The sequence below is a fragment of the Homo sapiens genome, chromosome 8 (assembly GCF_000001405.40).
Source record: "Homo sapiens chromosome 8, GRCh38.p14 Primary Assembly".
Taxonomy (NCBI): Eukaryota; Metazoa; Chordata; class Mammalia; order Primates; family Hominidae; genus Homo; species Homo sapiens.
In genome coordinates this window covers 137,137,549-137,153,373 of record NC_000008.11, presented here as the reverse complement: position 1 = coordinate 137,153,373, position 15,825 = coordinate 137,137,549, and the positions used below count along the sequence as shown (strand labels likewise).

The 15,825-nt window shown below is 36.8% G+C and overlaps 1 long non-coding RNA gene across 1 annotated transcript in view; it reads right to left on the bottom strand.

Annotated features, from left to right (window-relative positions):
- The window catches only part of LOC107986905 (uncharacterized), a 33,147-nt gene extending 18,626 nt beyond the window's left edge, over positions 1–14,521 (bottom strand). The window contains exons 1-4 of the long non-coding RNA XR_001745742.1: positions 14,428–14,521; positions 12,446–12,516; positions 9,581–9,668; positions 5,956–6,055 (exon numbers count right to left, since the gene is read on the bottom strand). This is a non-coding gene — a long non-coding RNA (uncharacterized LOC107986905). The remainder of the gene's footprint in view (positions 1–5,955; positions 6,056–9,580; positions 9,669–12,445; positions 12,517–14,427) is intronic.
- Positions 14,522–15,825: the final 1,304 nt, after the last annotated feature.

Genomic DNA, 15,825 nt, shown 5'->3' with positions numbered 1-15,825 from the left:
TAGCAGCGTCATAAGATATGGGAGGGAGGCACTGAAACTGTTCTCTTTCATGGCACTTCACTAATGTGAAGTGGTACAGTGTTATTTGATGGTAAAATTAAATTAGTAAAATATGTACATTGAAAACTTCAGGGTAACACCTAACATTTTTTAAGTAGTATGGCTTATCTATGCTAAGATAAAACTAAATGGTAAGAAATGCTCAATCAAAATCATAGAAATCAGAAAAAGGGGAGGGCCAAAATACACATTTAATAAATGGAAAACATTACAAATATAGAAGATATTAATCCAATTATATCAATACTCATTTTATTTGGAAATGATATTGATTAAAAACAGGCATTGTCAGAGTAGATGAAATAAACAAATGACACCAATATGTTGTCTAAAAGAATCCCACTTTAACTACAAACACACAGATTGATTAAAAGTAAAGAGAAGAATAAAGATATACCAGGCTAACATTAATCAAAATAAAGCTATAGTAGCTATATTAATTTCACACAAACCATGTTTTTGAAGAAGGAAAATGATAAAACAAAAAAAAGGAGACATTACGTAGTGCTAAAGGAGTCAATAAGAAATAACAATCTTATGAACCTATGAGATGCTGGGGAAATCATTCCCACCCACTGGTGCATTAGTAATACAGGTTACTTTGGTTCAAAAAACGTATTTTCGCATATATAAACTTATGTATTTATTTTTATTTTTTAAATTTAAATTGTAATTGACAGATAACAATTATATATGTTTATGAGACACAATGCAATACTTTAATATATACTTACAATGTGGAATGGTTACATCAGTGTGATTAATAAATTGATCACCTCATACATTCTTTTGTGGTAAAACATTTAAAATCGACTCTTTTGGCAATTAGACATATACAATGCATTATTTGTCATAGTCACTATTCTGTGAAACAGATAGATAAAACTTATTTCTCCTGTTTAACTAAACCTTTGTACCCTTGGATCAACATCTCCCTTTTCTCCTTCCACCTGTCTCATGCAGCCTCTAGTAACGAGTATTTTACTCTGTACTTCTATGAGCTCAACTCTTTAAAATTCCACAGAAAAGTGAGATCATGTGGTATTTGTCTTTCTGTGACTGTCTTATTTCACTTAGTACAACGTCCTCCAGGTTGATCTATGATGTCACAAATAACAGGATCCCCCCTGTCGTTTTAAAGCTGAATAGTATTCCATTGTGTCAATACATCACATTTTGTTTATTCATTCATCTAATGGTGAACATTGAGGTTGCTGCCATATCTTAGCTATTGTGAATATGGAATAATGAACAGGGGAGTCCAGAACCCTCTTAAACATGTTAATTTTACTTCCTTTGGATACATACCCAGTAGGACTGCAGGATTAGAAAGTAGTTCTATTTTTAGTTTTCTGAGGAACCCCCATATTGCTTTCCATAATGGTTGTATTTAAACTATTTGTCTATCATAGTTACCTATTGTATAGATTATTCAATATTGACTAAAAGAGTTAAAATATCAGGGCCTTAGGCCAAGTTTTTATTCTCCAAGTCCTTCTTTCTTTCTGCTCTTCCATTTTGTGTTTTCTTTTAACATAAGACGGACGATTGCCCCTATTCTGTTAGTATAACACAACGATGACAGAAAAACAGTATAATAATTATTATTATCATCATACAAATCTACATTTAGTCTTATCTCTCAGCGCATGTCACTTGGAAGGAGACTGAATGAATAATGCTTGTATATTTTTTTCCCATGAAGCAGTATTAAAGGTACATATTACCTTGTTTCCAATAAGAGATCTTTCCCCAGTTAGTTTCTCACTGGACTCATAAGAAATGTAGGAAAGTATAGTATTGAGGAAACCTGATATTTTTTAGGTCTCTTTCCCTTAGGAAATAAATGTAATAAGCCCAAGATGAATGAACAGAACCAGGCGTAAAATTCCTGCTGTCAATCTGAAAAAATGGAAAGCAGGCTTATTCATATTTTCTGAAGTTTTCATTTTCTTCCAAGAAATGTTGTTAATAGCTCATAATGTGACAGATAAATATGATTTATATTATAATTGTCAGTACTAACATAAAACCTCTCAAGGCCCGTAGAAACAGAATAAATTGTATTATTTTCAGGGTATCATTGTGGGTATTTATGCAGTCTATTTGAGCTGTGCATTTGCAAGATTAAAATATATTAACAATTCATAATTTTTATTCAGTTCCTGCAATGTGCCAGAAACTGTGCTAAGGGCAGTGAAATGGGGAATGGTGTCTTCCCACCAACTGGGTCTTAGTACCTCATTGTCCACTAATCTGGACTTTTAGTATCTGATTATAGAATAAAAATTCAGGTCACTGCATCAGCCTACAATAATAATAACTGACATTGTTATTGAAACTGATCTGGTTTCACATTTAATCTAAGCCCTTTTGCAATACATCGTTGCATCAAGTCTTTGCATCAACTCGCCACATGAAGAGATGAAGATAAAAGAAGTTTAACTTTGTTAAAACTATTGAGTGTACAAAAAAAAAATAAAAAGAACATTTTGTCTCCTTTTGTTTTGCTTGTTTTCTGATGCCAGAGCAAGCTACTGTAGAAGAGACGAGAGGATGCTGCTGACCCTGCCTCACAGAAAACACCAAGGCCAAAGCCAAACTGTGTCTGCCACTGTTTCTGTCTTAACTCTGTGTATCTTCCCATTGACCCATTTATATTAAAGGCCACCACTAGCAACAGCAGTGATGGGCTCTGTGCCCCAATGGCAAACTGCCTAATGTCTTAGGCCCTCAACTGATCTCTTACGTAGCCACAAAGATGTAAGCACAGTGATGGAAACTTGGAGTAATACAGTGTGATAGATCCAATGGTCATAACCAAAAGTAACATTTATTAAGCATTTATTATACTCAGTGCACTGTGTATAGTACTTTATGTTTGTTACCTTATGTTCTTTCCTATGGCCCACAGCTCAGCAAGTAGGCATCATTATTCCAGGCTGACCAGTTGTAGAACTGAGACTCAGATAGGGTAAATAATTGGTGCAAGTCCACACAGCAAACAAGTATACAGGTTTTGGCCAGTGTAGACTACCTTGAAAGCGGTGCTCTTCCAACTTACTCTGATACTAACTTGTGTATTGGAATTGAATTTGGATGCTAGCTACCCTGAGTTAGCCTCATATTTACAGGTATAAAGGCGCAGTCCCCAATGAGACTGCCCCCACTTTACATGTGAACCACAAGTAGGATCATCAGGACAACGAAACATAAATCCAGGGTGTTCACACTGGTACAGTAACCCACTAGAATGGAAAGTGCTATACTTATGATTAGATTACTGTAAAGGATACAAATCAGGATGAACCAAATGAAGAGGTATATAGAGTGGGGTCTGAGAGGGTCCTGAATACAGAGCTTCTGTGCCCTCTCCCCATGGAATTAGTTTGCATCACCCTGCTAGCATATCAATGTGTTCACCAGCCAAGAAGCTCCACTAAGTCTTAGTATCCAGAGTTTTATTGGGGTTTCATTAAATAGGCATACTTGGTTGTATAACCTGTCATACAATTGAACTAATTCTCCAGTTGTCCTACCCTCTATGGCAGTTAGACTGGGTCAAATCCCTAATCCTCTAATGGCATGGTTAGTCTTTTTAATGGTAGGTTCTTATCCTGATTCATCCTCTTATCATAAATTCAGGTGTGGCTCACAGTACTCATGAATAACAAAACAGCTCTTATTACTCAGGAAATTCCAAGGATTTAGTCTCCCTTTGAGAAAACAGGGAAAAGAGCCAATCAAATTATTTATTACACAGCACTACTTTTCATGATTTCTCCATAACAGACACTCATCCTCCTCCACAGCAGCCTCGTTTTTAAAACATTAGAGTTAGCAAGCTTTAGTGAGATTCTCATAATCACCCTGCAAGGTTGGCAGGGTCATTTTCACTAGTTAATGTAAAGAAACTGACCCTGTGCATTCACTTTCTGTTTGGATTCTTACATGTAGGAATCGTATGGGTGGCTAGAGAGAAAGGTGGGTCAGAAAGGGGGATGGAGGCTTTTTTCACTCTCTTATCAAGCTTTGCCCTTATAGAGTTGCATTTCCTGGGACAGCCCCCCACTCCTCCACCGCCCCAGGCTGCCCTAACTCTGGCAACCAGCCTGAAGCCTGCAAAACAGGAAGCACTGCATGTGGGAAACAGATGTCCAATGGGCTATGAATATGTGGGTCTTTTAGCAGCTTTCTTTGTCATATACTCTGGCCCGGTTGGCAGACATAGGCTATGAGAGCACCTGATGTTAGTGATGATCAAAACCTTTAAACTCATTTTTATGAAATCTCAGACCCTGTTCCCTGGCATATGCTTTGAGGATAATAATAATTTTACTTCTCCCACTGCAACTAGTACTTCTAGTTAATTCTATCAAGTATTCACTATGTGACAGTCACTGTTCTTAGTGCTTCATTAACTAATTTAATCCTCTAAACCACGCAATAATGAAAGTACTATTTTATTTTCTGATTACAAAATATAGTTACTCAGAGGTTTACCATCTTGCCAAAGCTTGAACATGTAGTAAATATTGCAGTTGTGACTCATGTGTCACACTCCAGGGTTTTCTTTTGACCACCATGGGCTCTATGCCCTTCATCTGGTAACCTCTATAGATAGTATCACGGTGTACATTGCTGTATTTTAATTTGTTGTATCCTACTTGCGCCACCTGACTGTAAATTCCTTGAAAATTGATGGGCAGAAATCTTACTTTATTCATTTTAATATTATTTTACAAATGTACTAATACAAGATTTATTGAGTTATTGAGCACTTCTCATCAGCCAATGCTGTAAGTAGTACAGATACAGTGATGACTAAAAGAGACAAAATGCTTATAGAACAGCAAGGCGGCCAGTATAAGGCTTGGGTAGAGCCAGCAAGAAAGGCCATGTGAAGGTGGAGAGAAAGGGAGGCAGGGGCCAGATCATAGAAGCATTTATAGACTGTGATATGAACTTTGGGGTTTATTCCAAGTACCATAAGAAGCCACTGAGTCTTCTGGGCAAATATTTAGTAATATAGTTTGGATCTGTGTCTTCACCCAAATCTCAAGTCAAGGTGTAATCCCAGTGTTGGAAGTGGGGTATGGTGAGAGGTGATTGGATCATGGGGGTGGATTTCCCTTTGCTGTTCTAGTGATAGAGTTATCATAAGACCTGGTTGTTTAAAAGTGTGTAGCATTTCTTTCTCCCTCTCTCTTTCTCCTGCTCCAGGCTTGTAAGAGGTACCTGTCGACCCTTTGCCTTCTACCACGATTGTAAGTTTCCTGAGGCCTCCCCAGCCATGCTTTCCGTTCAACTTGTGGAACCGTGAGCCAAGTACACCTCTTTATTTTATAACTTACCCAGTCTCAGGTATTTCTTTATGGCAGTGGGAGAATGGACTAAGACATTTGGCAACATCAAATTTCCTTGTGTACTCTGCAGAATAGACAATAAGGGGCCATGTGGGAGTGGGAGGCATTAGGCCCTTAACTGGTTAATGCTATAGCCAGGTGGCAGGTGATGGGGACCAGGTAGAGATGGAAGTGATAAAAAGGGTTTGACTTTGGGATACACACAATTGGGAAGGTAGAAATGACAAAGTTGGTTTATGGTTCAGGTGTAAGGAACAAGAGAAAAGAAGAAATCAAATTAACTATTGGCCTGAATTACTGAATGAATGAATGATAGCAGATCAATGAAGATGTGAGCAGTGGCATTAGTCTTTTTGGAGTCCATGGTATAGGCATCCTGGAATCATCACATTAAAGTAGTTTCAGGTATTGAAACTTAACTCTCAATCACTATTTATAAGCTCATTGGCCATAGGAAAGCGATTTGCCATGGCTGAGCTTCAGCTTTTTCTGACAATGAATTGAGAAAGGCAAAAATAGACAATTGTACCTTCTTCACAGAATCTGTGTGTGACTTTCTGAGAGTTATAAGAACATTAACAGTGAAGTAACTGGGAAAGGAAGGCAAGGTATGCTCTTGATCCAATATTCTGTGTAGGGAGAAAAAAGAACAAGGTCATGGGCAAATGGTATAAAAAATGTGTATGTGCCGACTGCATTTGCTGAAGAGCCACGCTGGGCCAAGTAGTATGCACCACGCCTGAGCGGTAAGCTGGGTACCGGTGTGGGGAGTGGGGATTGACTTAGGAGGTGAATGACTGAGTCCAGAGGGTGTCAACTGACGGCTGAGATAACGGAATATTGAATGAAATCACCAAAGCTGAAACCGAGACTGTCCCCTGTCTTTCTGGGAGGTGGCCCTACTGAACACACTGGTGGCAGAATGCCCACTGTGTGGTTAGAGTATTTCAACAAGGATTATAAATTCCTTCGTGACTGGGATTTCTGGGCCAGTCTCAGGCAGGGTTAAAGACTATGTGGGAAAACACTTTGTTATGATAACAACAGCTTTTTCTTATTGAACAAGAGCACCACACCAGGAATGGCTTGCCCTTTTTTTTCTAAAAATTCTCTAGAGACCCCTCAAGGTAGGTTTTATGATTCTCATTTTACAATAGGCAATCTGAGGCTCAAAGAGGTTAAGCTAATTTGCCCAAGGTCACAGGACTTCTACCTGTAGAAGGCAAGGTTCTAACTCAGGCGTGTTTGGCTTCCAAGCCCCACTTTTTCATTTTACCACACTGCCTCTTGGCTATTGTACACACGTTATATTTTATCATTGCACTCCGGACTTCCCAGGCTGTCCCACCTTTTCATCTCTCTCCTAATCACCCCTCTGGAAACCAAGCTGCTCCGTTTAATGAAACACAGGCCACTGTGATGTGAGGCAGACCCAGGGGGCCCTAACGATGAGATGAGGCTCCAATCTCTGCAACAGAGGATGTGGAAACCAACCTTCCTCATTAATCATGTGATGTCAGCGATTCCACAACCTCACATACTTCAGAGCCAAATAAATTCCAAACACAGTTATCTCCACCAAGAGCAATTAGCAAGACACACATTTAATATTGGGGAAGCAAGTCAATGTCAGGGGTGAGCTGTCTGCAAGACTTTGTTTTTTCCTGCTTTTGGACATGTAGAGGGGAGGCCTGTCCTCCCACGGAGGGCTTGGAAAGACACAGATTTCATTTCTCTGCAGCTTCTGTACTCTTTCTTTGCAATTGGCCTGCTGCCAGGAACGCTAATCTGATTTCTCAGGCAGACTAATCCTATTTCTCCCTCAGGTGCAAACTTCCCCTCTCTAATCATTCTCCTCTTTGCACCTTTAATTAACAAGCTGCTGTGATCAAGCAATCAAATCTTTTAAGCTCACAATATTATTACATTTTAAATACTGATGAAAGTACATATACAGTAAGGTGTTGGTGTTCTTTTCCCTCTGCGCAGCCTTGGCTCCCTTAATGCACAGGGTGGGAAGCAACTTTGATTTGGGGGAGATACACATGGATTTTGAAAATTTTCATAATTCTGATATCAGTTTCAATCTTTCCTTCTGGTTCCAGTAACCCACTTTCTAAATGGCAAAGAGTAAAAATTCCAGTATTTTTTATCCCAGGAGCCATAATCATATAGACATTTTATTAGCACTTAGCAGTTTACAAAGCTCTCACCTTTATTAACTCAAGGTTCTGACTGCTGCTTCTCTCTCCAGGCTCCTCTTGTACCATTCTCCTCTCTTTATCACTCACTTGCTCCCAAGGCATGACCCCAGCCCCATGGTTCCTCTTTCAGGTCCTTGAATGAGCCATTTTTTCTCTTCCACAGGAATTTTGCTGCTCCTTCCACATGGAAGTCTCCCACCCCCACCCCCCTGCATTTTCCCCAACCCTTTCATCTAGGCACCTCATACTTACTCTACCGATTTTACTTCAAACTTTCCTTCCCCAGGAAGTTTTCCTTGACCTCCCAACAAATCAGTTTCCTTTGCTCTGCATGATTCTTTTTGCCTAGGATTTTCCACCACAGCAATTATCTCAGTTGCAGTCACATACTCTATTTATTCCATGTCCTTTGAGTGGTTAATTAATGCCTGCTGCACCTACAAGATTCTAACCTCTGGAGAGGGTGGCCTTGATTGTTCTTTTTATCATTTTATTCATAGCACATAGCACAGTGTCCTACATATTGTGGATACTCAATATTTATTCACTAAACAATCTTACTCAATAGTAAACCCATTATGTGCATCTGCAGATGCCGAAATTGAGGCTTAGAAAGGTAATGGAACTTTCTAGACTTCTCTTTGTTAGTCAGTGTTAGATACTGTCAGCAAATACAAACCATAGTTTGCTCACACACAGACACACACACACCACACTTTCCTTGATGTGAGGGTGAATAAGGAATGTTCTAATTATTTTGCACTCTGTGTGTAGAAAAAATATGGAACTCTAAGTCTATGTTGTACATTGCTGATTGCAAGTTTATTGCAAAATTTGGGGTGAACCTCTCTGATCTCCAATGGTCTGAAACACCATATTTGTGTGCCAGTGATTATCATGTTGTCTCTGGACAGCAGACTCATCATTTTATACTCTGCTTTGTGGTGCTGGGGCTATGACTTGCTCAACTAAACTTCTGTTTTGAAAATTGGCTTCTTTTTAATCATCTGCCAATAGAGACTTCTGGAGGAAGACCAAAAGAAAGGGGAGAAAATGGAGGTGTATCCCTTCCTGTTTGCTCTATATGCCTGTTTTTGCTTCTTGTGCTTGTGAGTGTCACTGGTGCAATGGTTCTTCATGAAGAGGTGAGCAGTTTATTCAAATTTGCAGTGTTTCTAACACTCATGAAACAAGCCACATTACCTACCCTTAGAGATACCAGCACTAGCTGGCCAGTATACCTCACCAGCTGTCTCATTCCCAGATCTATGACCTTCCTCCTCTGAGTTTCTAAGTTTTAATAATTTCAACTTTTTATTTTTGCTCCTGTTTTTTTTCATTCCAAATATTCAAAACCTGGTTAACAATAATTATATATATTTTTTCTCTTTTAAAATAACTGGCATGATTTCTATCACCCCATTAGATCCTGACTGATAATATTGATATGAATAAAGTCTATCACATAAAATTGTTGGGGTAATTAAATAATAATATGTAAAAGACATTTTTTACATTACAAAGGGTTATGTAGTTACACTTGTTCATTGTTATCCTGAAGACTAAGATCTAGTCATTGCATGTGTGACTCCAGATATTAGAACTGTAACTATTTTGTCAATGCTACTGGGAGGTATATTTGCTTCCAGCATAAAAATAAAAGTTGTTGTATTTATAGCTGTTCATAAATTAAGATGATTCATATGACCTCATGATTTTCTAACAAGTGAAGGAATTCCAGGCAAAGCTGGTTATAACTTCTATAATTTCTTTGCATATTGCATGTGAACTATGTGTTTGAGTCTGTGTGTCTGTCTGTGTGTGTGTTCATTAATTCAGTCAAAAGTTAGCTATTTAATACCTACTGTGTGTATGTCTTAGTCCATTAAGTATTGTTATAACAGAATACACATCACTGGGTAGTCTAATAAAAAAAGATTATTGGCTTACAATTCTGGTAGCTGGAAAGTTCAAAATTGGGCATCTGCATCTAGCGAGGTCCTCAGGATTATTCAACTCATGGCAGAAAATGGAAGAACTCATGGTGGAAAGTGGAAGGAGAGTTGGCATGTGCAAAGAAATCACATGGTGAGAGAGCAAGGAAAAGAGAGAAACCCTCAGGAGAGCATTAATCTATTTAAGATAAATCTGCCCCCATAATTCCAACACCTCGCATTAGGCCCCATCTCCCAACACCACCAAATTGGGGATCAAACTTCAACATAAGTTTAGGCAGGAACAATGAAAGCATAGTGGTATATTACTGTATAAGGCACTTAAGATAGTGAACAGGACATATGCTATGCCCATAAGCAGCTTACATTTTACTAATAGAGATAAAACAAAATGCCAGTGAATATAATAATATAGATTAAGGGACATTGTAGAGGTAGATATATATTGTTATGAGACCATATAGAGAAGGCAACCTACCCCCCGAATGTGTAAAATTTAGCCAGGCAAAGAAACTTTGTGTTCAGGGAATTAATAATGTCAACTGAAGAATCAGGTGGTTTATGAATTTGGAGTGGAGAGTTTTATTTCTTACAAGAAGTTGTGTCCTACAAGCTGGCCAACCTGCAGGCTGGGAGGCATAGCCTCTGGTAGAAACTGAAAGCACTTTGAAAAAGAAAAGATGAGACAGGAATTTACATAGAATGTGTTGGCTAAGTGTACATATTCCACAGCTTACAGGAGGAGCTACGATATTCACAAAGCAGGGGCACACGTGCATAGTAAACCAACAGTGATATTACATGTGTCCCATATTCACTCTGGGTTGGAGACTTAACATTTAAATGCATTAAAATTATGTTTTATATGTCAAAAGGTGAAGCAGAGGATACAGAGGCACCATGTGTGCAGCCCCTTTAAACCAGCCAGAACTAGTCCACAGCTCATGGTCTTTTATCAGAAAGTAATGCTGACAGATGTTTGTCGAAACCACAAAAAAGGAAGGGGGAATGGAAAAACTTAAACAAAAACAAAAACAAAAAAAACTACTTTCTGTTTAACCCTTAGGATAAAATGTCCAACGGTGGTTAGTGAAGAAGTTGGTATAGCAAGGCACGTCAGACCTTCTCTGTGGGTCCCCCTTGGCCAAGAGGGGGTCTCTTCTTCTGTTTGGGAGGCTTAGGATTTTATTTTTATTTCTCAAGAATAAATGACAACACGTGGATGTAGTGGGTTTGGGGTTGATGAGTTGGGGACAAGAGAAGATTGGCTAAGTGAGTACATGAGATATTAAAGAGGAGCCTGAATGTGAAATAGAGAAAAAACCAGGTTCTGTACTTCCTGTATTTACTTCTCTATTTCTAATGCGCTTGGTTGGATTCCAATATGCCTTACGGCTAAGTGTGCCCAGATTGTGGCAATGAGAAAGATGTGCATATGTGCATCTTAATTGAGCATATCAGAGTTTGACTTGCATTTCTATAGAAAACAACTATTCTAATCTTTCTATTTCAGCTTTTGCTCTTCCTACAAGGATTAGGTAGAAATTGCATAATCAGATATGAAAGTATACAAGATTGGCTGAGACAGCCCCTATCTGGAGAAAAGGTATCTATGATAATTCCAAATGTCTAGTTGAGGCAACTGAAGTTTGGAGGGGTTCTGTGGATTGCCTTGGGTTAGCCAAATAATTCAGATGCAAAGGAGAAGCACCCCTTTAAATTCTGGTGTTAATATACTTTTCACAATATTATAATGTTGGAATTGCATGCTTGTTTTTCGAAACATTTTAAATTATTTTGTAAGGTTTTCAGACTTTCATTTCAATGCAGAATCTTTGTGTTTCATATCTCATTTTTGTTATTAAGAGTTCATTATTTTTCTGATTTTGCTGAAGAGCACAGGGGAATTTCAGGTTTAGGAAACGTCTTGGTTGCCACTTGTGCTTAACACATCTAAACTGTTGAAAGTAAAAGTAAACAGTCATATCTGAGGATCTGCTCTGATTTTCTAAGGCAGGGCAACCCCTTGCAGTTTGCAGGCTTTAGCAGGTAAGGCTAAAAGGAAGTATGTTAAGTAGCAGAATAAGGTGACTAAAGAAATATCCAAGATACAATGTGGACATTTCTAGAAAAACAGAAATACAAAATTATTACATTTTCACCCTTATTTACATATTCAAGTAAATACACAATTTACATCTTTAACCCATACCTGAAGCAATTTCTATTTTTGCGTCCTACGCAATTTTTAAATTCTTTTACTCTTTTGATTAACCCAAGAATGACAATGATCTCAACAGTGATATCTTCTCACTTATGTGTGGTTGTGGGTTAGAAGAAAATCATATCAAACAACATTTTCACCTTTCTTGCTATTGTTTGCTGTTTGCAAAAAGTCTTAAAATATATCCACTGGGGGCAAACAAATTTGTGCTTTGGTGCAAAAGTAATCGTAGTCACTTTTTTTGTCACTGCTATCTGAAGGGTTAAATCACAAATGACTGTCAGTATCAAAAAAGTTGAACATTAAACAATGCAGTGTTCCAACAGGTAGGTGGAGATCAATTGGGAAACCCTGAGTTGATAATACCCAGGGCAATGCAGGCAGTTGCTAGAAGCATGGTTCTTGTACAGGGGCTAGACTCTAGCCAAAGGCAGGGGTTGGGATAGCAAAGGGAATATTCTGATGTTAGGGAGAACTGAGTTAAAGATTTGTACATATGCAGTAACAAGGCAAAAGTCAGGTAATCTAAATGGGGCACGGAGCTAATCAAGTGTTATGAGTGGCATCAAATGGTCTCTCCCAGCGCATGAGACCAGAGTGCTTTAAAAAGCCTTCATGCCCTCTATCAAGGCTTACCTTAGAAAGCAGGAAACGGTCATGTCTCAGTGAAGGAATCAGGTAGTTGCAGCTCTAAAGAAAGAAATAAGCTGAGACAGGAAATCAAAAATGGAATAGAGCTGTGCTAATGTTAGTCAAGAATAAGGTTAAACAGGGCAGTAGATACTGTTCAGCAAGGACAGCTCCAACAATCTGACTTAAATTTATGGCATACACATATAACTAACACATACAAACACGTGCACACATAATACATACAGATATAGCATATACAGATACAAATATGCATATATAATACATACATAGAGCATACACATACAAATGCATGCCTAATACATACACATACACACATATTTACACATAAAAATAGATATATACATAGCTGGGCATATACACATATATGTGCATACACATGTACCCATATATGCATGTGCATGTTGCACATATGTATTCATGTGGATATACACACACATATGCACACATATATACTTATGAACACATATATACATATATTTAGTAACATCAAAGGTGGTTTGCAAATATGGTAACATTTACCTAATTTTCTATAGTTTTCAAGTGTTGTCAGATACATTATCTCATTTACTCAGACAATTTGGATTAAGCTCCCTTGGTGTTGTAGTCACCAAATCCTCTTTCATAGGGATATGGAATAAATCCCTATGATTTATTCCATGATAATGGAATGATGGCTAGCATGAAGCTAGCCAAGCTGACCAGTGCCAAGGGCAACTTCAATTACAGGCTGTAAGGAGTGAACAGGAAAACAAATCTGTTCTAGGATGAAGACATATAATCGTGCCAGAAAAGTCAAATATGTCACTGGGTGCAAAGAAGGAAAGCATTATCCAAAAAGAGAGCGATCATAAGAGAGATGGAGAAGGAAACAGTTAAAAAAAAAAAAAAAACCAGGCTAGAGAAAGATTATTTATGTCATGTCTTGTCTTAAGCTGGAGCCCTATTGGGCCACATAGTGTCCTATTTTATGGGTGGCTAGCTACAAAATTTGTGTGTGCATGGATGTGAGTTAAAGGTCCAAAGTTTGAAGCATACAGTGTTTCTCATCATTTATCATAAGTAGGAATAGGGTTTCGTAATCTCAGTTTCATATTGGAATCAGCTACATGAGTCAAAAGTGACACATACAATTACAAATACCTCTGATTTTGAGCCAAATCCCATTAGAATTTGAGGCTTAAGAAACTTTCCTTGAAAGGAAAAGTGGTGGGCAGCCTCCTTTTTAAGTCTATTACAGCAAGGTGCTCTTCCATTGAAGTTGAGGGAAGATGAAGATATATCATGCTTAGACATAGTCATGGCTCATTAACCACTGAAACTTGTATTACTGGTAAAATGCATACTGTACATCATCAGACTAAAATAAATATTCTTCCTAGGAAATGGATTGGATAAATCATTTATTGGGAAAAATGAGTCATTTTGAAGAAAAAGAAGTCACTTCTCAGCTAACACACATACTTCATTAGCTGAATGTAATAATGGAATTATATGAGCTTTCAAAGTTGAACAGGCTGTCAGGGGAGCACCTCTCCAACTTTCCATTTTTAACAAGCAAGGGAACTCAATTGCAGAAAGGTCCGGTAATTTACCTTACATAACACAATAGGTTAGTAGAGTATCTCAGACCACAGTCCAATTATTTATTCTAAGTTTAAGCCAACTGCTTCTCATAATTAATGTGAGGAAAAGAGAACATATTTGCAATTTTTCTTAGAGCTCAGGACCACTAACTTACTTAAGTCTCATAAAATTAGCCATAGAAAATATCTTCATCAGTCATTTAAACACAGCTTATGGTTTATTCAAGACCAAAATTTAACAATGGATGAATATATCTCCATTGGGAGGCTGCATTGTTTTTATTGATAATAAATATCCCACTTTAGCTACTTCCCTACAGAACTTTCACACACAGGACAACTACATTTTATGCCACTAAATGTTGTTTATACCAGGCTCACCTTTCGCTAGCCCTGTGACCATCAGCAAGTCCACTTCTTAAAGATTCTGTTTTCTTATCAGATGGAGTTTCTCACCTCTTCCAACTTCTTTAAAAGATTGCTGTAAATAGCAAACAAGATAATGTGAAAACACACCATAGCTTTCACTCCAATAGTTTTAAATAAATAGTTTCAGTGCATATATATACCAAAAATTACATCAATGCAAGAGACTGCAGAAGAAAAGAGCATTATTTACTATTGAATTTAGGTTGGAAATTATGATAGTGTAACATTGGAAACTCAAAGATACACATGGGTGAAGGGTATTATATACATTATTATATATTACATAGAAAACTATATTATAATATATAATATATGTAATAATATTTAATATATGTAATAATATATTATATATAAATGTTATAATGTATTACATATTATATATTTATATATTATATGATATATCATATATTACATCATATATATTATATATTTATATATTATACAAACACATCGGTGAAAGGCCTAATATATATAATAATATATATTATATTAATCCAAATTGAGTAAATGAGATAATATATCTGACAACACTTGCAAACTATAGAAAATTAGGTGTTACTAGATTTGCAAAACCATCTTTGATGTTACTAAATATATGTGTTCATAAGTATCTATGTGTGCATATGTGTGTGTATATCCACATGAATACATATGTGCACATGCACATGCCTATATGGGTACATGTGTATGCACATACATGTGTATATGCGCAGCTATGTGTATATCTATTTTATGTGTAAATATGTGTGTATGTGTATGTATTATGTATATAATATATATAATATATAATATAAGACAAGGTATGACATAAATATAATGTATATAATATATAATATATTAATGACCTAAACATAATGTATATATGTATATATACATATAATGTATACATTATATATAATGTATATATACATATATACATTATATATAATGTATATATACATATATACATTATATATATGTATATATACATATATACATTATATAATGTATATATACATATATACATTATATAATGTATATATTATATAATATAATGTATATAATGTATATATAATATAATGTATATTATATTTATGTCATATCTTGTCTTAAGCTGGAGCCCTATTGGGCCACATAGTGTCCTATTTTATCGGTGGCTAGCTACAAAATTTATGTGTGCATGGATGTGAGTTAAATGTCCAAAGTTTGAAGCATACAGTTGAAGCATAAAGTTGGAGAGATGCTCCCCTGACAGCCTGCTCAACTTTGAAAGCTCATATGTTGTATATTATATACATTATATATAATATATAATATACATAATACATTATATATAATATATATTGTATACATAATACGTAATATACCCTT